General features: G+C 35.4%; 1 long non-coding RNA gene across 6 annotated transcripts in view; it reads left to right on the plus strand.

Annotated features, from left to right (window-relative positions):
* The window catches only part of LOC105379080 (uncharacterized), a 166,831-nt gene that overhangs the window by 44,909 nt on the left and 97,929 nt on the right, over window positions 1–23,993 (plus strand). The window contains exon 3 of one of the 6 annotated variants that reach the window (XR_001742808.2): window positions 4,743–5,176. The exons of the other annotated variants lie outside the window; for them this stretch is intronic. This is a non-coding gene — a long non-coding RNA (uncharacterized LOC105379080). Of the gene's footprint in view, window positions 1–4,742; window positions 5,177–23,993 lie in introns of those variants that run through there. 6 annotated transcript variants of the gene reach the window in all.

Consider the following 23,993-nt stretch of genomic DNA (forward strand, 5'->3'; position numbering starts at 1 on the left):
GGTAAGTATATGGTTAACTTTATTAAAACAAAACTATCAAACTGTTTTTCAAGATAACTGACCCACTTTGCAATCTCCCAGAAAAGTATTCAATTTCTAGTTGTTTTATATCTTTGCCAACACTTGGTATTATGAATCTTTCCAATTTTTGCAATTCAAGTATAATGACATTTTATTATGCATAGTTTAGTAATCTTGGAGAGACATAAAGGGATATGGAGAAAACATGGCAGATCAAAATTTTTTGAGAGGTCCTGAGACATCAAAATGTAACTAAACCAAAGGCTAGGTTGCAGTTAGCTGCCTGACCCCAACATTACTTGGAGAAAGATTAGATTCTTAATAGGCTCTGATGGTTCACTGCATAACTTCTGAACTTTCCATGTTTGCTTTGACTATGTACGCACTCTGGGACTGGATTTTTAGTTCTCGAATTTAAACAAGAAACAAAACTGTAAAGAACAGCTCTCTGGGATTCCTCTCTCCCAATGACTAGTCTTTTTCTTATAGGACACTGCCTCTGCTTCACAGCTCCAGCCTTTATGACAAAAATTTTAAATTCTTAACTCAGTCTCTCCTTATCAGGGAGAAGGGTTCTAGGTGTGGGACTGATCCAACACAACTCTCACAGTACTTTTAAGGACCTCTGACTTTCTCAGTCATGCCCACCCTCCATATCGGCAGGGGTTTTCTCCCTCCCTACAGTTAAGTTTCCTCTGCTACTCCCTTGTGCAGTACTCATCAGTTTTATCTGTGCATGCCAGAATCCAGATTATGAACACAGATCAAGGTCCATTTCCCTTCACATAACATGTGTTGTCTTCTATATAAATATCCCTTATCATTTTATAATATCTTACAACATTTATAAAGTTTCCCCAAAACAGATGTTTGTCTTTAACCCAAAGAGGACTGCTAGTCTTCCATCATAATCTGGGTATAGCTTGGTCAAACTAGTCTGTTACTGTTTTCTTTTGATCATTTCTCACCTCTCTTTTCCAACAACAGGAAGTCAGATTGTTGTCCAAGCCCAAGGAAAACTAACCCTCAGAAATCTAGAGTAAGGTCAGTTGATTAAAACAAATTTCAAGATTAATGTAGCACAGAACAGCAACTACTGCTCTTCCCTTCCAACATGAGGATCCTCACTACTATACATCCCTGATATTTGTCATGGAACACTGTAGTGACAAGGTGTATCTTCAGTAAAGTCTCCAAATCATAGGTAAATATTTCCAAATACCTAGGCTGAGTTCCCTGGCAAGCATTCATGCAAGTAAATATATCAATCTTACTTTCAATGCTGCGAAAGACTATGGGAAGACCCACTAATGTTAGGGTATTACCTTCGGATCACCACACAATTTACACATATCTAGAAAGGCACTGTTCGATTAAGTTGTTAATTAGAATTTGTGAAGAAACACACAGTGTGTGTTACAAGTCTGAATGTTAAAAATATGAAGATTACAGGATTGTGAGAATACTAGTCATTCTTTTTCTCTAAAAAAGAACATTCAAGATATTATCTTTGTTTCTGAAGTCTTGGGTATAGCAAGCTACTACAGGTTGTTTATTTTGTGCTTTTATAGTCATATATTCAGAAAAAGAGACATAGTTTGATCTTTTATATTTTGATAGCACTATAAAGTTTATAGAGCCCTTGTCTGTACATTACCTCCTTAATCAATTATATTATCTTAACAATATTGGCACATCACAGAGTCACAAATTCTAAAAGTGTTCCTGATAAGACTATTGATTGGCTTTCAGAATTATAAATTAAATTCATAATTTCTATACCATTGCAAAAACATTTTGAACATTTTTAGTACATATTTGTATGTTTTCGCTTTGAAAAGAGATAGAGTATATATCTATTAATATTAACTACTAAATTTGGAACAAAAATAAGTTAATGCAGCAGTAGGTTTCATTTGGCATAATAAAGCATTTCTATCCTTCATTATTTATAATTTTATTGGGAAATATGTGCTAATGCAAACAATTTTCATACATGAATAAAACATAAGGTGGAGTAGTAATTAATATAAAAGGATTCAACGGCACATAAAGGTGGTTAATATATCTATCTCTTCATATATCAACGCCACTTATATTTTGTTGGAAGACACTAAAGATCGAAAATCAAGCATGCTAATTAATTAGTTTCATTCTCAGTTAACTTGAAGGTTGCATATAAAAAGGAAATCAGGTTGACTGTGAGCAAGGAGAATGAATAGTTCAGATAAAAAGATCAAGAGGAGAAGGTATACAGGAAAGAAAGGGAAAGAATGTCAGCACACTTAGCAGAATAAAAGGTCTCCTTTAATGACTCAAAGTGGAACAATTTCCCCCTATCCCGTCACTGAACACAGGGAAAGTTAGAGGGCAGAATCCATTATATATATGGAGGCTGCAGGATCTGCATATAAACTTTCATAGAAAAAAAGTGAGTATCTAGTAAGATAGAGAAGAAAAGAAAAGTTAGAAGTATATTCAAAGATAATGTTCTGGATGGCATTGAACAGGCATTTTAGTGAGATTCTTTTGGATATGTAGAGATAGGGCTTACCAGGTTTTTCAAGAAGGGAGGATACAGATATTGTCACAAAAGGACCAGAGATCCCATGGGAAGGACAAAAATACAGCAGGACCAGGCATTACTACATCTAAGACTGGATCCAGGACTCTCTGCTGGGCCTGAGCACAGGAGTTCGTGAATCATCACACTAATGGTTAATCTTTGATGAAATTTAGCTAACTCTGTTGGTGTTTACTTCTATGTGTCTACTCTTCCCTGTGCCAAGTGATTTCTTTTCCCTGTAGTCTACATGTTTTCTCTAGCTCATGGCTTCAGTTGCCTCTCAGTTTTAGCTTATTTATAAACTACCATGGCCTGTACTCTGTATTTGTGGAAAGCAATTCGCCTGTCTCTCACAAACTGTCCAATTATCCTTATACTTCCTAACTTCTCTTCAATCAGCTCATACAACCTGCTGGCCTAAGGAGGCTGGCCTATGACTCAGGAGAAAGGCTGAAGTCACAGGCTGGCCTGCCCCTCTAGCAAGGGCTTTGTGTAGGACAGTTTTCTTTAGAAAGGGCTATTGGAGTAGCACATTTTATGATGAATAGATCAAGAAAAACATTCATCCCTGAAAACGCTTTGTTGGTTTTCTTAGTCACCTGTGATATCTGAACTTCTGCTCTTATGGTATGGTTCTCAGCTTTATATTTCCACCTAAAACTCTTTTCATCTCAAAGACTAGGAAGCATTATGTTTTTGTTTGCATCAAGAAAAAATCTACATAAGATGAATTAATGTATGGATGAATGAATAGATTTTTTCCACAATTTTTTCCAGTAGATTGGATGATAATAGTGCTTGGCATTAATCATTTTACTTCAAATGTCTGACTTTATATGGTTACTATTTCAAAACACTCAAAATTATACATCATGTATTTCTTTTCTTGGATATTCTGTTATCATTTCTCCCGTATAACTTACTGAAGTTAATTAGCAAACCTTTCTTTCTAGTTTCAATGCCTATGTTCTAATTCTTTGGTTTCAGTGATTAGTTTTGGCCATTTAAATATTATCAAAATTGCATTGATAAAAATACTGATATAGTTAACTATGAATTTTATATCAACTCAAATTCTTATAGATAGTTAGAGCTGTGTACCTCTACTACACCAAGAGAACTTTTTAAAAGTTGGTGAAAAATTGTTTTACTACATTTTAATCTTGTCTGTAACTTCCTGAATAACTTACATAAATAAGATTGTTTTTTCTTCTTATTAGTAATGACAATATTAGAAATCTATAGGTACAGTTTACATGCATTTTTAATGTCTTATTAGTAGCAAAATTGTATGAGATTTTATGGCAGGTGGCTTAATCATCATTTCATTGAGTCACATTAAACCACAAAGTTAGTCATGATGTCTTGCATGCTTTCCAATGAGAGGTGAGGTATTAACATAGTGTACTTATTGGAGTACACGCTAAAATTTTCAATAATTTTGTGGAGTTGACAGGAGATAATTCCTATCTTAAAATTTCTAAGATATAATTCAGATCTTAAAATTTTAAAAATATATACAAATATTGCAAGGAAACCAGACTTTTGTATTTAAAAGCTGCTACTCTGAAGTGGAAATTTGTGTCTAGCAGTTTACATTTTCTTTATAAGATATTCTGAGTTCTGCCTTATGGTAAAGATTCTGTCATGATAAAATCAATCTAAGTTTTACTAATCAAGGAAATTTATTAACTAAGTGATTATTGATTGGAATTAAAATTTGTGGAAATTTTAAAGAATAGATTTTCAGAAGATACTAGCATTTAGAAAATAATATAAATCACATAATTCATGAAATTTTTAGTAGGATGAATTACATTAACTTGAATGATGATTGCAGTACATATGCCATACCCAAACTAAAGAATGGTGCCACTTGACGATTACAAAAGTTTCTATTCATGTTTCATGCCATTTGAAAAAACACACTTTTTGCATCTATTGATAGGAAAATCAAGATGCTTTTCATTCTCCCAAAGCATATTGCCACATAACTCTGTTTCTTGTAATGAGTCAAGGCAAGAGTTAGAAATAAGTTCAAGATTATTTGTTCCTTTTGTTAAATATATGAAGCCAGAGATTCTTTGTGCCATAGGAACATTAGTATGTCATTTAAATGCTAGTGTATCCCATGTTTTTTTTTTTTTTTTTTCAGAAAATTGTCAACCGCAGATGTAGCCATGAAGTATTATGAGCGAGTAATAGCAAGGGCTTTGCTGTCCTCTCTCTCCACTGTTGTTTCAAACAAACACAAAATCAACAGCATATGCAATCTCAATAAAATAACATAGAGATGTGATCTGTTGCTTTTTTTGAAATGAGATTAAGTCTGTCACATCGTAAATCTACCTGTGTAATGTTTGAGCTTAACGTTTAACTTGAAAAAAAACCTGACATTAGAGTAAATAGTGTGAAGGAATAATTGAATTCAGTTGAGGGTTATAACTGTCTCTTTAAGTTTTAACTTTGGAAAAACAGGCCTCCTTGCATAGGCTTCAAATATTTTGAATAAATATTTGTCATAGTGTGTCCGGAATTGGTGGGTTCTTGGTCTCACTGACTTCAAGAATGAAGCCACGAGCTCTCGCGGTGAGTGTTACGGTTCTTAAAGGCAGCGTGTCCGGAGTTTGTTACTTCTAATGTTCGGATGTGTTTGGAGTTTTTTCCTCCCCGTGGGTTCGTAGTCTCATTGGCTTCAGGAGTGAAGCTGCAGACTTTCACCGTGATTGTTACAGCTCATAAAAGCAGTGCAAACCCAAAAAGTGAGCAGCAGCAGGTTTTACTGCCAAAAGCAAAAGAACGAAGCCTCCACGCTGTGGAAGGCAACCAGAGCAGGTTGCCACTGGGGCTCCTGCAGCCTGCTTTTATTCCCTTTTCTGGCCCCACCCACATCCTGCTGATTGGTCCATTTTACAGAGAGCCGATTGATCTGTTTTACAGAGAGCTGATTGGTCCGTTTTGACAGGGTGCAGACTGGTGCATTTATAATCCCTGAGCTAGACACAAAAGTTCTCCACATCCCCACTAGATTAGCTAGATACAGTGTTGATTGCTGCATTCACAAACCCTGAGCTAGACACAGGGTCCTGATTGGTGTATTTACAAACCTTGAGCTAGATGCAGAGTGCTGATTGGTGTATTTACAATCCCTTAGCTAGGCATAAAGGTTCTCCAAGTCCCCACCAGACTCAGGAGCCCAGCTGGCTTCACCCAGTGGATTCCACACTGGGGCTGCAGGTGGAGCTGCCTGCCAGTCCCCCGCCGTGCGCCCGCACCCCTCAGCCCTTGGGCGGTGGATGGGAATGGGCGTTGTGGAGCAGGGAGCCGCTCTTGTCCGGGAGGCTGGGGCTGTGCAGGAGCCCACCGCAGGGGGATGAGGGGGGAGGCTCAGGCATGGCGGGCTGCAGGTCCCAAGCCCTGCCCTGCGGGGAGGCAGCTAAGGCCCAGCGAGAAGGGCTGAGGAGTGCGGGTGCACGGCGTGGGACTGCCAGGCAGCTCCACCTGCAGCCCAGGTGCTAAGCCCCTCACTGCCTGGGGCTTGTGGGCTGGCCAGCCGCTGGGAGTGCGGAGCCTGCGGAGCCCACCCAGAATTCTAGCTGGCCTGGAAGTGCCACTTGCAGCCCCGTTTCCCGCCTGTGCATCTCCCTCCACACCTCGCGGCAAGCCGAGGGAGCCAGCTCCGGCCTCGGCCAGCCCAGAGAAGGGCTCCCAGGGTGCAGCGGCGGGCTGAAGGGCTCCTCAAGCGTGGCCAGAATGGGCACCAAGGCCAAGAAGGCACCGAGAGTGAGCGAGGGCTGCGAGGGCTGCCAGCATGCTGTCAGGACGCTGTCACCTCTCAATAGGCTTCTTTGGCAAATATTTATTCAAAACCTATTCTATTCAAGGCAGAGGAAATGTATTATGGAGACTACAAATAACTATAAACAATGTAGCTAGAATCTAAACGCATGAAAAAAATTAATTTACCCAACAGTAAGACTTTTTAGCCTGCAAGCTCTATATTCAGTAAGAAGAAAGGCAGGCTGAAATTTTGACCCCTTAGTTGCCACATATGAGGAGTCATGCTCTACATATGGGATAGAAATGTCTTGATGTGGCGCTTCACCATTCGCCATTCAGAAAGCAATGACATAAAAGAAAAGCATTTATGATTATTTCAATTATAGAAGATCATGTTGTCAAAATTTGAATGTACAATTTGTGGACACGAAACTAATACCCGTTATATAGACATAGTCATCAACCATAAGGAAATAGTGTAATAAGAAAATTGTATGATTCATTTTTTTTATGTCTTAACTTTTATCTAAGCCTGGGTTTTAATGAACATACATAGAGCCAAGAACAGTGCCCAACATGCGTTTTTTCTGAATTATTGCAAAGGAGTTTCTTTCCCTCATTTAAGCTTATCAGTGTTCTTTTATATATTCAAATTGGTGTGTGTTTCAATGTCCTACAAGATACCTATGTTAAGTTATCTATATTTTCTCCTAGTTTGCTTTTAAGAATGGACAGGAATGATAAAACCAAAGAATTATGGTAGGCAAACAAGAAGTGGACAGTTCCGAAATTCGCATATTTTATTAATATAGTACTGATATCCTTTTGCTTTAAAGTAGCTTTTGGAAGGAGATTAAGTTATCTCTACTAATTCCCTTAACTATCTTCTTTGGTTTATCATGCCTCGTTGTGGTAATATCCAATAATTGAGTAAGAAAATATTATTACTTACCAATCTTTTAGGTACAAGTATGTGTCACAGCCAGGTATAATTTTAACCCAGAGATGATTTTCTTCTAAAAGCAATTAACATTCTATTTAATGAAATTATGTTGTATACTAGATATAATAAGAAAATAATCTTCATTTTTTAGGAAAGTATAAATACAACAAAAATATAAAGTATATTGTGATATACTTATAAATAAATAATTTATAATTTATAATAAAAAATAAATACGAAGTATTTATTCCACAAAGTTATCTGACATTGAAGTATTTGCAAACTAAGATTTTATCACATCAATAATGATTTTATTATTTTTCATATAGCAAGCAAAACTGGAAAAGAATTGATCAATATTCATCATCAAAGGAATCATTAATTCCAAATAACACAAAATGTACAGATAGAAAGCTGAAGCTAATAAAAGGTTAATAATTACATTAAATCAAATTTCTACATATAAAAGCTGTCAGTCATTTTAATAAGCATAATAAAGAGCACTAATAAAACTGAATTTTTATATAACATATAATAGATTTATATATAACAATACTGCATATTTTAGATAAGGCTCCGCTTTTGTATTTCACATTTCTCTAGATAAAATTTCTTGGCTGGGTACGGTGGCTCACTCCTGTAATCCCAGCATTTCAAGAGGCTGAGATGGGAGAATCACTTGAGCCCAGGAGTGGAGACCAACCTGAACTACATAGGGATATACCATCTCTACAAAAAGTTTTTTAAAAAAATTATCCAAGCCTGGTGTATAATTATCCTCTCACCTGTGGTCCCAGCTACTTGGAAGGGTAAGGTGGGAGGCTGTCCTGAGCCTGGGAGGTCAAGGAGGCTGCAGCAAGCCATGATCTAGCCACTGCACTCCAGTCTGGGTGACTGAGTGAGACCCTGTCTCAAAAAAACTAAAAAGGAAAGAACATGTTTTATTGCATTTATTCATCCAAATATAGTTAATTTGTAATACAATAACATTAATGTAACAAAACAATTTAAATTTTTCTTCTGTTTGCAGCATCACAGAATGTGTTGCTGATATAAATAATTTTCAGTTTTCTACAAAGAACTTATTTTTCTATTAGAAGTTTTCTTAATAAACAGAGGTATATGGTGAAAGTGAATTCATTATTTCGGTTACAAGAGTCTTGGATAATGCGTTTCAAAGGCATTTCTAACAACTACAATAACAACAGCAATTTAGCCAATTTCCTACTATATTGAAACTGTTAAAACAGCTATTTTGTTGTTTTTTATAAGTCCTCCTAGCAGATTAACATTTCTTTGCATAGCTTAATCCCATCTTTGCATAATGTACAGATAGATGCACACTAGTCTCATATTTACTATCACTTTTCAATTTTTCTGTTAAAAGATATACAAAATTAAAAATACTCAATAAATTAGAAATACATAGATAAAATAATCAAAATAAAAAATTGAATACATTTGATGGCTTTGCTAAACTTTCAAAAATAGGACTAAAATGTGGCTTTCTATACATGAAAATTACACTTCTTTTTAAGGTTCAAAACTAGTGGATTAAACTCTTGCACAAAGACTCCTTTGATTTTAGTTGTTTATCATTTCAGAAGAAGCAAATCTTATGTTTTTTCCCTGTAAAATTGAAGGTGTGCAGATGACCATATTATTTAATTTAAAAGGGATCATTTGACCTCAGTTTACTTGATAATATGACTTCTTAATTAAACTCTTCAAACTTGTTTTTTTTCTTTCTACCAACTAAGCTGTAAGAATGCTATGAAAATTGGTAAAAACTAATCAGTAAATTGAGATGATATTTGACAATTGTGTTTCAAGGCCTGAGAGCAGACTCTTGAGGATAACCCTTTGTGTGGTGCTATATTTGGCAGGCATTGTTGCTCAACATAAAATTTTCTTACTTATGCTACATATGGTTTTTTAAAATTGTGTTTTGCATTTTAGATCTGTGACTTTTTTGTGGGAAATGTTGCTCTCCTAGTAGCATATGTGTCATTGTTTGTAGCGTTTATCCAGCATTGTAACTTAGTTTTCTGTTTGTTTGTTTGTTTGTTTTTTGATAAACCTCCAATCTCATCTGGACTATCAGATTTCAAAAACCAGCTGAAGATTTGGATGCGAATTCTGGATGTTAAAGGAGTTGTTCAGGTTTCATCAGTACCAAAGGGAATTCCTTTTTCTTAGAGGTGAATGAATGAATTCTACATTCTAGGTGTTATATGAGGAGAGAGAAACATTTGATTAATACATGGCAATGAGTCATCTGATTACAGCTATTACCACGGGGAAAGTAGAATATCTGTTTCAATCTCTTTCTAATTTTATCTCTTCCTCTTTAGAATATTAAAGGAAGAAAAAATTGTCAACTAGTATTCCTAAAGTAATTCCATAATAATTTTGAATTATTTATCTTTTATGCGAATTGGTATATTTGCCAAGATCAGATTACAAAAATATAAACCAAGACCGCTTTGCAGAAAATGTTTTTTCTTTGGTCAGTATGGATTGCAAAATATATTGGATATCTTGAAGAGGGAGAGAGAAGTGGAGATATGACTTGAAGCTAAAGAAGATTACTTCCCAATCATCCCAGCCCCCAGTGTATAGTTAAAAAAAAAAAAAAAGAAAAACCCTTGACTATTCTTGACTATTTTTTTCCTCTCCTTTACAAGAAAATCACTCTTTAGTTACTCATTTCCTTTCCCCATGGTCAGGTTGCCTGCATCTCCAAACACTTGTAAGTACTGTATGTTCTGACATATCCTGAAGTCATGCATTAGCACCTTTTCATTCAGCAAAGGGTGAGAACAGATATCTTTTGGCAGCTGACAGCAGGGCGCAGGCAGCAAGTCGGAGAAGGAAGCGGACGACCGAGGACACTGTGGTGGCCTAGTGGCTAGCAGGACTAATGCACCAGCTGTGAATAACCCCCTTTTCCCCTCCTATCTACCCAACAGATGTCTCTCTGTCATTGTCATGTCCTCAAGCTATCCCAGTAAATGATTTGTGCATTGCAACTGAGTCACCAATGTGGCAATTGAACCTCTTCACAGCTCAGAATTGTTGATGTGTGCACGGAGGGCCCTGTGGTTGTACTGAACGCATGTATGAACAGGGATGAACTGCAGAGGGACTGGGGGGCAAGCACCCGAGAAAGAGGATGAGAAAGGGAAGCAGGAGACAGAGAGGATACTGAAATGTCAAGGTTACCTTGTTTTGCCTGGAGAATTAAAAGGAAGGGCACATTATTACGTCTGCCTCTATTTGGTCTTTTGGCTCTCTTAGGCTGAAGCAGCCCCTTGCTGCTCTGGTAGATATACATATCACTTTGAAAGATTAAAAAATGAAGAATGCAGTGATCTGTATTGCATATATGCTTTATTCTGTGGAAAGAATGTTGATAAATACACTGAGAGCCTGCAAAGTTTGCCAATATAAATAATGTGGCATTTCAAAGTCTGTCAGTAAATGTAATTGAATTTTTCAATGTAAAAATATAGTTCAGTTATAAATTGGAGTCATGCTTGACATTAGTTGGGCATTAGAAGATATTAATTAGATACTGCTCACTTCTCTCTGATTTCTTTATATTAAGTGAATTTTCAGGAAAGAGGAATTTGCAAGCATGCAGTTTAGAGATTTTTATTCTCAAAAACAAACTGGTTGGTAATTTTTAGTGGAGAAATAAATGCTTTTTTCAAAAATCTTGTCAGTGAGCTGTCTAAAAATGCCCTTCCCAATATGAACACAATATGGAAAAGCTAATCCATTTTAATACTTTGTAATGATAATAAGCTACAGTGAACAAGTAGCCTAGGGAAAAGACAGTAGTAGTCACCTTTAAACAGAAAGAGAATAGCAAGTAATTGTACATTTTTACACTAGGCTGATGACAACATTTCCTGTGACTTTGAACTTACTTTGGCTGTCACCATCCTGGCAAACATTTTGCATATCAATCAGACAGTTGTTATTTCTTGCATGACATTTGCAGCATAATGCAGAAATTTACTTATGTGATCTTTGTATGTAAGCAGACAGTTTATAAGTAAATAATTGTGCTCCTTCATGCCACAGATGAGGATTTAACCTGCATGTGGGACTGCTAAGACCTTTTAAATATCAACACAACATGCAGTTTCCATTTAATGTTCTTATTCTTGTTTAAATCAGTCTTCATCTGTGTTTGGCATGATTCACCCTATGTGATTTATGTGGTTGTAGGGTGCTGCGTGTGTGTGTGTGTGTGTGTGTGTGTGTGTTTTCCAGCAGTTAATTACTGGGACTGAGATTCCAGAAATAGTTTTTATAACAGTGTTTGAATCTTAATTTCTTCAAAACTTGTCATGTTAACTTTTTGTTTTGTATTTGACAAAATCTGTAATTAATCACCAGAAAAAGAAGCATATCTAGATATTGACTTTTAAAATTGCATAATTTTAATTTATTGGGCTTGTTTGAGTATTTTTTTCTAGTCTGTATTACCTAACATTTTTGGGACACCATTACATAAAAACAGATTTTTGAGGTTTTCAATTTAAAATGTCAAAGTATCCAGGTTCTGTGCTCTTTAGTGTCCTTCAGAATAGTTTCCTTCCAAATAAATAATAATATTTAAATGCTGTATTTATTTTAGAAAAAAATGTAAAGTGCCCCCACATTGCATAATGTATGTTACTCAAAAATATTTTTATGATATCATTTTGTAGTTAAATTTCCCTTCCATATTCTGCTTGGAGATGAACATTTTTTTTAGGATTCGTTTTTGGAGGCAGGCAATCGCTTACCTGGTTTGAATTAAGACTCTTCAGATACACTCTGCTGCCTGTGAATAATCTCTCAGTAAATACTAGTACTTGTTACATTAATAAAACATCTTTAAAAATACATGTTTTTTATTCTAACATAACTTTAGTTCTTGTAGAGTCTAATAAAATATGTTCAGTTGTACTATGTGAACACTTTACCTACTTCTGATATTTGTATGGGTTAATTGATAATTAGCTTCCAAGGTTAAAGAGAGAAAATAGAATGCGGCCTGGCCCTAGGAACTGGAAAGAACGAAAATTAGAAAATGAAAGAAATATAATGAAAGAATTGGAGCAAATTGTAAACTTTCTTTTTTTAGGGAAAAAAAACATATAATTTTAATTTTGTCACTATTCAATGCAACATTCTCTTTTCATGGCCAAGAAAATGAAGTAAAAGGAAAAAGTAAGTGCTAAATTGTTTCAGTGATAGCTAGCTGACTCCTACTCATTCATGCTTAGCTGTCAAGCCAGAGACATTCTGTATACTCTGCATTTAAACTTAACCATGTGACTAGTTCTTACCAAATTAATATGAAATGAATTGATGTGTGTCACTTCTGGGTTGAGGTAGATACTTATGTAGATAGAGACTACCACTAAAGACTCTCTCCATTTCTGCCAGATAAATAAAAGTGGGGCCATAGTATAAGAGTAATTTGGATTTCTGAGTTACTTCTTAGGAGGCAAGCTCTAAACATATCAGAAAGACATGAGAAATATATATTTAATGGTTTACCTACTGTAGTTGGGCAGTTTGTTTCAACTACCACCTCCCTATTACAGATATTAATTAACATTTATTTCCTCTTGTGTACATTCATTCAATCCTCACAAAATCTTTACAAAATAGATATTATGAAATCTATTTTGTAGTAGAGGCTTCTGAGACTTGGTATATTTGATTGACTTGTTCAATACAACAACAGCATTAGAATTTGAGCTTCCTGTTTGAGACCTAAATTTATACTGTTTCCAGCATACTTCTTCAATGGTCTACTTTTAAAATCCTTATATTTATATTAATTTGACGTGATATGTATGCATTAGTGGTGAAGAGTATGGTTGTATGTTCTTTATAATATAATGACAGATTGGAAGTTAAGAACTGCTGCTCCACAATCTGAAAATACCTTCAAGTGAATGGGATGAAAGCAAGGTATACCTTTCTTTGTAAGATGATAAATTATTTTAGTGTCAATTGGCTTTATAGAAGATGAATAAAACTAAAAATCCCCAGGAAGGCTTAAAAACATTGTTTATGTTATGAAAGACATATTATTGGGCTTTATAAAACCAGTTGGGTAAGTGCTGATGCTGTTGATACTACTAATAATTCAGTTTTTCATCTGCCTTTTTTTCTACTAAGCTTACTTATATACTTACATTATTTGAATTTTCTGATATCTATCTATTCATCCTCTCTTGCTGCCAAAACTGATATTTAGAAAATACAGATCCTGTATTTCTAGAAATCAGAGTATCTATGAAGCATTTGAACATTTCCCAATTCAATGCACTTACCTGGGAATGTATTTGGGTAATGGCACTTTTTGGTTATTTGTAGTTTTGCCACTAACACGCAACTATTGTTCAATCTTTTACATTATACCACTTTCGAGAAGGAGAGTAAGGAATTCATTTATCAGAATGTTTGATCCATATTATTCTTATTAACAAGAGTCCCATAGGCCTCAGTTTTAGAAAAATTTATATGGTTCACTAGTTGTTTCAGAAATAGATGAAGATACAATAGTAATTCAAGGTTGTCCCAGTGGTTCTCGAACTTTTAACAACACTGGAAATACCTGATGGGTATGTTAAGGCAAATTGCTAGACCCTACCACCAGAGATGTTGACTCAGTAAGTGTAGACTAGCGCTCACTAGTTGTATAAGTTTACATCTGATAATAATGTTACTAATCCAGTGACTACACTTTGAGAATCATGTTCTAGAACAAAATGTTTCAGGTGAATTTGTTTAGCAATGAACGCATATGAAAATATGCCATGTCAAAGTTCTTTCAGGATCACCTTGTAAACGTTAAAAAAAAAAAAGGAAGAGAAAAAAGTCCAAATGATTGGCCTTTAACATCTGCTTTGTTCAGTTATTGGATGAAGGGGGCGCAGATAGGCATGCTCTCCGGTGCGGTGTTGCTCTGCAGCTGAGGCAATCCCTGAAGAAGGGGCTGGCAGCTGAAAGCTCTCTGTGGACACCACTCGCAATAGCTGGAGCAAGTCCTTCCTTGAAGGGGATTTGAGTGGACATCTGCATGTCCACCACACCCAACTTAAAATTTTCAAAGACTTGTATTATCTGGAGTTGACCTGATTTTCATATCTCAAACATGTAATTCTCCCTTTTGCTAAATAAGATCCACTTACCCACACATTGCTGTACACAAGCCAAGCTTTTTCCTTTTTTCAGTACAAAGTTTTCCCCATACTGTTATATCTTTCTGAAATGCTATTCTTTCCTTCTCCTCACCAGTAATTCTCCTGATTTGTTTCTTATATAAGACCCCTGACAAAATGTTTCATCTCAGGTTTATCATTCTGGCTAATGCGGCTCCCCCTGAAAAATCTCTGTAACTGTACTCTTTCCATTTCAGTCATAGCACTTACCACTTTTTGCAATTTTCTCTATAAAATTGTGTTGTTGTTGTTTTTTTTCCTATCCCCTCTATAGATCTTAACCTCTATGGGAACAGAAGCTATGTTGTTCACCAGTGTAAACCCAAAATCATGAAGAACATAGGCTGTTAGCCCTAATGCAGGCTCTCTTTAAATATCTGCTGTAGGAGTATGGTAGAGATGATCACCAAAAGTTCCTGACCCTTCCGTAGTATAGAGTTATTGTAGAGTGATGGGTAACTGTGTGGCCATGGACTACTTCCCTTGCCCCATCCACTGCCTGTAGTGGTTCCTAATCATGAATAATTTTAACCCCAGGGATATATGGCAATCTCTGGAAACATTTTTAGTTGTCACAACTTGGAAGAAGGTGGGTTGCTACTGGCATCTGCATCTAGTGAGTATAGACCAGTGATACTGCTAAACATTCTATAGTACACACAATAGCTTCCTACAACAAAGAATTTTCTTGCCCAAAATACCAGCAGTAGCAAGGTTTAGAACATCTGTGTTTTAGTTTTCTATTCCTGCTTTAATAATTATCATACACTCACTGTTATAAAACAACACAAATTTATTATCTTTACAGTTCTTTTATGGGTTCACAGAGCTAAAAATCAAAGAGTCTGATTGAATTCTATTCCTTTCTTGAAACTTAAGGAGAATCCATAACCCTCCTTTTTTTTTTGAGATGGAGTCTCACTTTGTCACCCAGGCTGGAGTGCAGTGGCATGATCTCGTCTCACTGCTACCTCTACCTCCTGGGTTCAAGTGATTCTTCTGCCTCGGCCTCCCGAGTAGCTGGGACTATAGGCGTGCACAACCACGCTTGGCTAATTTTTGTATTTTTTTTAGTAGAGACGGGGTTTCACCATATTGGCCAGGCTAGTTTCAAACTCCTGACCTCAGGCCACCCACCTTGGCCTCCCAAAGTGCTGGGATTACAGGCATGAGCCACCACACCCGGCCCATATCCATCCTTTTTTTTAGCTGCTAGAGGCTTCCTGCATTTCTTAAGCTTGTGGCCTCCTTCCTCCAGCTTCCAAGCCAGCGACATTGCATCTTTCTGGCCATTCTTCTATAGTCATACCTCCCTCTGACCATGCCAGGAGGGTTCTCCTATATAAAGAAATGATTATATTGGGTTCACCTGGATAAGCCAGACTAATCTTCTTTATATTTAGTCTCTTAATCACATCTGCAAAGGTCCTTTGACCATGTACACTAATTCAGAGGATCTGACCATCTTATGGTTGGGGGCAGAATTTTGCATAGAACACCTGGGATATGTATGTAATTTTTGCCAGTGGAAAATTAACATTATCAATGTGTGTTCATTCTGATCTAATGGGTTTAAAAAGTGAGTCTGCTGTCTCTCCACTTTTTCCTTTCTATAATAATCTTGACTCCAGATATTCCAAAAGTCAATAATCTTGACTCTAAAAGATGAAAGATAACAAAATCACAATGTAGAAGTCAAGCCATGAAGAATAAGTGTGAGACAGTTGTGTGAGTGAACAATATATATATTTTCTATTAATTTCTACATGCTTCTGGCATTATATTAAGCCATAGGGCCTTGAGTTTATCTATTACAGCAGCTAGCATTCTTATTGTTATTATTATTGAAAATGATACCTTAGGTTATAACAAAAAGCCTAAAATAGGTTGCGTTGTTTTAGCAGTCAGCTGGCAAGTGACAAGGAAATTAACATCAGAAGAAACACTTTGTTCTGAAGCCCTACACTAGACTTATTGAATAAGAGACTTCTGTTGTGCTATGCCATAGGGATTTCATAGTTTTTCTATTAAGGGAGCACACATAACCTTAACTAACACTGTGAGAAACTGGCTGAGTGAATAAATTACTAGGTAAATAAAACAATGCATTTCTGAGTTTATATTGCTCACTTATAAAAATAAGTAGAAATCACTGTATGTATGAGCAACAGTAAATAAGTATCCTTAGCACAGATTCCAATAACATCAACTGGATGAACACTGGAATCATGAAGTGTTATTGGCATACCAACAAATGCAAGAAATGCTGAATAGAGGTAACCATAAACACAAACAGATTACTTTCATTTTTCATGTAGCATTCATTATGATTTGCAAACACTAAAATATAAAGGCGCTCTTCTCTACCTTCTGAACACTATGTAACCTATAGATAGTGACAAGGAAGTATGAAAAAAAATCCAAATCCTGAGGCAAAGTAATCTAAACTGTAACCACTGACTCAGGTGATGTGGTTCTCTTCTCCCTCCCATCAGGAATCAGGATTGGAGAGGGTGAGGAGGCTTCGGTGTTTATTTGCACTGTAGGATGAGGGACTGCAGGTGATGTCTTGGAGAAGGTAATAATCTGGATATAGAAGACACAAGTGTTCCCTGGGAAGCACTCTTACTCCATCCTAAGAGAGGAATTGATTTTTGCCTTTCCACGTCTCTACTTGATAACTGCACAAAGATATGCTGGTATTTTACTCCAGTTAATCTTGCCTTCTTTCTTCTAAGATAAGTGTATATTAAGACAGTGAGTCTCATGTAGAGTTGTTTCTTCCTTCTCAAAATCCAGAGTTTAGCCATATAGTTAATCGTTATATAATGACTCCCAGTGTTAAGTAAAGATGAGAGTCATAGAATTCAAAGGCAACTTTGATAATTGTTTAGAACACTAAAAATACTTCATATATTTCTGAAGAAAGATAAGAATTAAGTTATTAGTACCCGGAAATATCTGTATAATTCTATCTCTTCTCATCAGAGTTCTGTTCCCCAAGTCTGGAAGATACTATCACCGACTGGTAGCTACCATTTCATTAGAAATCCCAAAGATATTTAATTTTTAATTTTCAACTGAATTTAACCATTGAAAGCACAATAATAGGAGATTAATGTCTGATGAAATAGTGCTATCAGTAGCATATCATTCAAGAAACATAAATTTCACAATTCAAAACTGCCTTATACATGGAAACACATCACTCCCTAAACTATGTGTAACTTGAGGGCAAAGACAAAATTTGTGTAGGTTTGAGGAATTTTTTAAAGGGTGAACATATTCTCATCCACATATTTTGTCCTTATACATAACTAGTTCAAATTGCCCTCTCATCTATAAAATTGGTATAAATTCATGTATGTAATTCTATACCTTTGCTGTATCTCAAATACTTTTCTTAATCCAATATATCCCCTGTATGAATTCCTATGGTTTTTAATCTTGAGGCAAGTGATATATTTCTGTGACGTTGAGTGGTAGTATATGATATAAAGAACCCCATGAGATTAATTTGGGGCCTATGTAAATACAGCAAGAATGTTGAGAGGTTTCGAAAGCAAACATAGGCTGGGCGCGATGGCTCATGCCTGTAATCCCAACACTTTAGGAGGCCGAGGCAGGTGGATCACGAGGCCAGAAGATCGAGACCATCCTGGCTAACACAGTGAAACCCCGTCTCTACTAAAAATACAAAAAATTAGCCAGGTGTGGTGGCAGGTGCCTGTAGTCCCAGCTACTCAGGAGGCTGAGGCATGAGAATCGCTTGAACCTGGGAGGTAAGAGGTTGCAGTGAGCCGAGATCGTGCCACTGCGCTCCAGCCTAGGCAACAGAGTGAGACTCCATCTCAAAAAAAAAAAAAAAAATAGTAAATGTAAACCTCTTTAAACAACAGTGTGTGTATAGAGATTGTGTGTGTCAAAGAGGGGTGTTGTAACATCTGTTCAACTTAGACACTTTCTAGTTATAAACATCTTAGAAAGTTATGACAATATAAATCTTAAAATCTGTATTCTTATTAAAAGGATTCCCTATTTAATAAATGTTGCTGGGAAAACTGGCTAGCCATATGTAGAAAGCTGAAACTGGATCCCTTCCTTACACCTTATACAAAAATTAATTCAAGATGGATTAAAGACTTACATGTTAGACCTAAAACCATAAAAACCCTAGAAGAAAATCACCTAGGCAATACCATTCAGGACATAGGCCTGGGCAAGGACTTCATGTCTAAAACACCAAAAGCAATGGCAACAAAAGCCAAAATTGACAAATGGGATCTAATTAACTAAAGAGCTTCTGCACAGCAAAAGAAACTACCATCAGAGTGAACAGGCAACCTACAGAATGGGAGAAAATTTTTGCAATCTACTCATCTGACAGTGGGCTAATATCCAGAATCTACAGTGAACTCCAACAAATTTACAAGAAAAAAACAAACAACCCCATGAAAAAGTGGGTGAAGGATATGAACAGACACTTCTCAAAAGGAGACATTTATGCAGCCAAAAAACACGTGAAAAAATGCTCATCATCACTGGCCATCAGAGAAATGCAAATCAAAACCACAATGAGATACCATCTCACACCAGTAAGAATGGCGATCATTAAAAAGTCAGGAAACAACAGGTGCTGGAGAGGATGTGGAGAAATAGGAATACTTTTACACTGTTGGTGGGACTGTAAACTAGTTCAAGCATTGTGGAAGTCAGTGTGGCAATTCCTCAGGGATCTAGAACTAGAAATACCATTTGACCCAGCCATCCCATTACTGGATATATACCCAAAGGATTATAAATCATGCTGCTATAAAGACACATGCACATGTATGTTTATTGCAGCACTATTCACAATAGCGAAGACTTGGAACCAACCCAAATCTCCGACAACGATAGACTGGATTAAGAAAATGTGGCACATATACACCATGGAATGCTATGCAGCCATAAAAAAGGATGAGTTCATGTCCTTTGTAGGGACATGGATGAAACTGGAAACCATCATTCTCAGCAAACTATCGCAAGGACAAAAAATCAAATACCGCATGTTCTCACTCATAGGTGGGAATTGAACAATGAGAACACATGGACACAGGAAGGGAAACATCACACACTGGAGACTGTTGTGGGGTGGGGGAATGGGGGAGGGATAGCATTAGGAGATATACCTAATGCTAAATGACGAGTTAATGGGTGCAGCACACCAACATGGCACATGTATACATATGTAACAAACCTGCACGTTGTGCACATGTACCCGAAAATGTAAAGTATAATAATAATAAAATTAAATAAATAAATAAAATAAAATGAACTAAAAGTTTAACAAAGAAAAACTCAAAAGTAAAAAATAAATTAGAAGTACATAAAATAGAAAACAGAATACACATTAGAATTTATTAATAAAACAAAAAGATGCTCTCCCTAAAAGACCACTAAACAAGATAAACCTTTGGAAAGTCTGACCAAGTAGTCTGTGGAAAAAAGGGATACATAAGTATAGTTTCAGATATTTCAAAAAGTGTAAGATTAATATAGACAGCTTTATATAAATGTATTTCTACGCTAATATGAATACAGTTAAAATGAATTATTTTCTAGGAAAACTGAAATCACCAATTCAATATATCTATACAAATTCCAAATAGGCCAACAATTATAGCCAACAATAAATAGAAGACAGGGGTATATCCTTATCAACAACACCAAGCCCAATGGCTTAGCTCTAACAAAATGTCAATGAACAAATAATTTTCTGTTAAGTAAATTTTCTAGAACAGAGAATAAATGAGAGAGAGAAATAGAAAGGGAGAGAGACCTAGATAGGAGAGGTTATTCTGCAAATTTTCTGAAACTATCATAATGCTAATTTAAAAGTTGGGCGAGAAAAATACTCAAGGAAAGTTAATTTTATGTGAAGATGGATGTAAAAATCCTTAGCACAACATTATCTAGTAAAATAGTGTTATTAAAATGATACTCTTGTTTATTAAAAAGAATCATACATTATGACCATTATCATAGCATAATCTCAGTTTAATATCAGAAAATGTATTAATATAATTACTCACATAAACATCTTAAAGAACAACTATGATCACCTTAATAAATCTTACAAAGAAGTTGATAAAACTCAATACTTATTCTTTATTTTTTAAAAAACTCCTAGCTAACTAGGAATAAAAATAAAATTTCCTTGACTTTAAAGCTATTCACCAGAAATTATCAGCATGTGTCACTTTAATTAAGATACATTATAAGCATTACCATTAAATTCAGGAACAAGATAGGGCTGCCCCCTTCAAAACTGCTATTCAGGATTGTACTAAGGGCTTACCTCATTCGGCAAGACAAGTTAAAGAAATAAGAGGTACGATATTTAAAATAACGTGACTTTCATCATTACAGATAATACATTTATCTACTTGGAAAATTCAAGAAAATCATCCAAGAAATTTCCAATTAATAGGAAATTAAGGTTAACATAAAAACAATGAATATGAGCTACACTCAAAATGTGATTTTAAAAATCTTACATTCACAATACCCTGGTTTGTCTTTGTTTAGTTATTCACTCATCTATCTTTCTTCAATAATTTACAAGTAATAATAAAATATGTATTTTTCAGATTTTGTAAGTGTTTTGGGTGGTAACAGGAAATTGCATGTGCATATGAACTAATTAGGCAATAATGGCCAATATGAATGTGTTTTTTACGCTCTCCTGAACAAAACCAAAAAAAAAATGTAGGATTACTGTTATTTTTGGGAAAATAAGAATGATATTGATAATGGTGCTTTAGAAATCTCAGATGATCTGTTTTTATTTATCTGTTCTCAAACTTGAAAAAATAAGAAAAAATTCATTGCTATACCATCTCATTTGAATACAATATAATTTATCTTTATTCCAAATATTGCAATTTTCAGTTGCCTCTTAAAAAATATTGCATGACAGACATCACTAATCTGTATTTATTCTTATGTTTATATTAAACAATGGACATATATTAATTTTAACATAGGATATTCTCATAATTTCTAGGAACATCTTATTATGTGTAATTCACAAACATAACTCTACAGTTTTAAATATAAAACAAAGCCTTGCCCTAGAAAATAAGCACTGATTAAAGTCACAACGTGCTCTTTTGTGGTGGTGTTTTTAATAAAATATTATCAGTGGTAAAATGTAAATAAAAAAGTAAATTGCTTCATTCATCATGTATTTTAAGCAGTTAAAATGAATGAACTCTCCTTTGAGAAAACATCTGACTAAGCAAAATAATGGTTATGAGTTTGGGAAAATGTTTAATGAACTTACTGGTTAAAATGCAGTTGTTATTTTAGAGCCCATTATTGTGTGTTTTAAATTAATTGAAGCTTCTTTGCTGAAAGACTGTCTTTTTTCTTTTTTCACTTCATATACTAAAATAAGTGATCTTAGTAACTTATGTGGATGCCAAGAAGTTACCAGGTTGGGAATGCTGGTTGACATAACAATGTGTACCTAGAAGAGTGTGTATCCACGCATCTTCATATGCATTTACCTGATATCAGTTCAAAGGCAAAGTGGTCGATGATCGGGTACAATTGTGCTTTAAGGAGCTCATATTGTAAACACTCTGGCTGGTATTCTCTTTCTTTGTGTTCTGTAACACACCTATTTATTACAGATTGGAGGTTGAAGTAATATTTCAGTCTATATATTGAAATATTTCAAACAATATATGTAACCATTTGCTTAAGACAATAGGAGAAAGTACTTACTTTAAAGATGCAGCTTTATTCATAATTGCCAAAACTTGGAAGCAATCAAGGAGTCCCTCAGTAAGAGAATAGATACATAAACTGTGGCACGTCCAGACAATGGAACCTTATTCAACACTAAAAAGAAATGAGCTATCAAGCCATGAAAAGACATGGAGTAAACTTAAATGCATATTATTAAATTTAAAAAGTGAATCTAAAAAGGTGATGTACTGTATGATTCCAAATACATGATATTCTGGAAAAGACAAAACTATGAAGGCAGTAAAAAAATCAGTATTTGCCAGAGGTTGGTGGAGAGTGATGGATGAACAGGAGGAGCACAGAGGCTTTTTAAGACAGTGAAACTACTCTGTATAATACTCTCACGGTAGATATATGTTATTATACATTTGTCCAAACCCATAGAACGTATAACACCAAGAGTGAAACCTAATGTAAACTATGGACTATGGGTGATAATGAAGTGTCAGTGTGGCTTCATCATCATTTGTAACAAATGTGTCACTCTGGTGGGAGATACTGTTAATAAGGGAGGTTATGCAAGTGTGGGGAAGGGAGTGTATGGAAAATCTCTATTTTCCACTTAATTTTGTTGTGAACATATGATCTATTACTAAATAAGTTAATGATGACAAGTCAATCTGTGTACCATGGAGAATACTATGTTCCTGCACATGGTAGACATTTAGTAAATATAATGTAATATTTGATCAAGCTAAAGAATAAGTAAAATGAGAACTTAGACCAAGGAAAGATGAAATCATTTTGGCAGGGGTAATCTTAAAAAGAAATGACAACAACAACAGATCATAGCCAGAGACATTTTGAATGAGTACCTTCATATTAGAATGGGTTTGGGAGTCAGGACATGTGTTATCTGAACATGAATTATTCTACCTTTTCATTTATAAGGTCTATATGTATAATATTTACTTTATAGCTTTATGGTTAGGAATAAACAAGGTGGTACATGGATATCATTCAAATGAGTATAACTGGAAGTAGTACTTAGACGAAAATTAACTCACTGTATCGAGATTTCTGAAGCATGAACTTGACATTCCATTGTATTCCATATCCTATGGGACCAGTGCATTACCTGATGCAAAGTTAGAAACTAGTTAGCATGTGCTGAATGAATAACAAGGAAAGTATGCTGACAAGAAAGTACATACTGGATAAGAGTGATTTTCTAAGCCACATTGTGAAGAATTGTGGACAGAATCTTTTTTTTTTTTTTTTTTTTTTTTTTTAGTTTTACATGACAGCCAGGCACGGTTGCTCACACCTGCAGTCCCAACACTCTGGGAGGCCAAGGCCGGTGGATCGTCTGAGGCCAGGGTTTTGAGAGAGACGATATAGTCAGAATCTTAAAGGTCCAAAAATAAATAAATGGAAACTGATATTGGTACCTACTGTGTGTCTTTATAGTTTAAAATATGTGGTACAAAAAATTGTATATATTCTTCAAAAGTGTATTTGGTATTTTGATTGACGAAATTGGGCCTTTAATATATGATAGCCATTATTACATATCCTATAATGTTCAAGAATTAATTAATTTATTAAGTCAATGACATTTCTTGAGTGCCTATAATGAGCTAAGTATCAGGGCAAAGCATAAAGCAAGACAATGCCCTGTTTTCATGAAGCTCATATTCTAAAACAA

The sequence above is a fragment of the Homo sapiens genome, chromosome 5 (assembly GCF_000001405.40).
Source record: "Homo sapiens chromosome 5, GRCh38.p14 Primary Assembly".
NCBI classification, from domain to species: domain Eukaryota; kingdom Metazoa; phylum Chordata; class Mammalia; order Primates; family Hominidae; genus Homo; species Homo sapiens.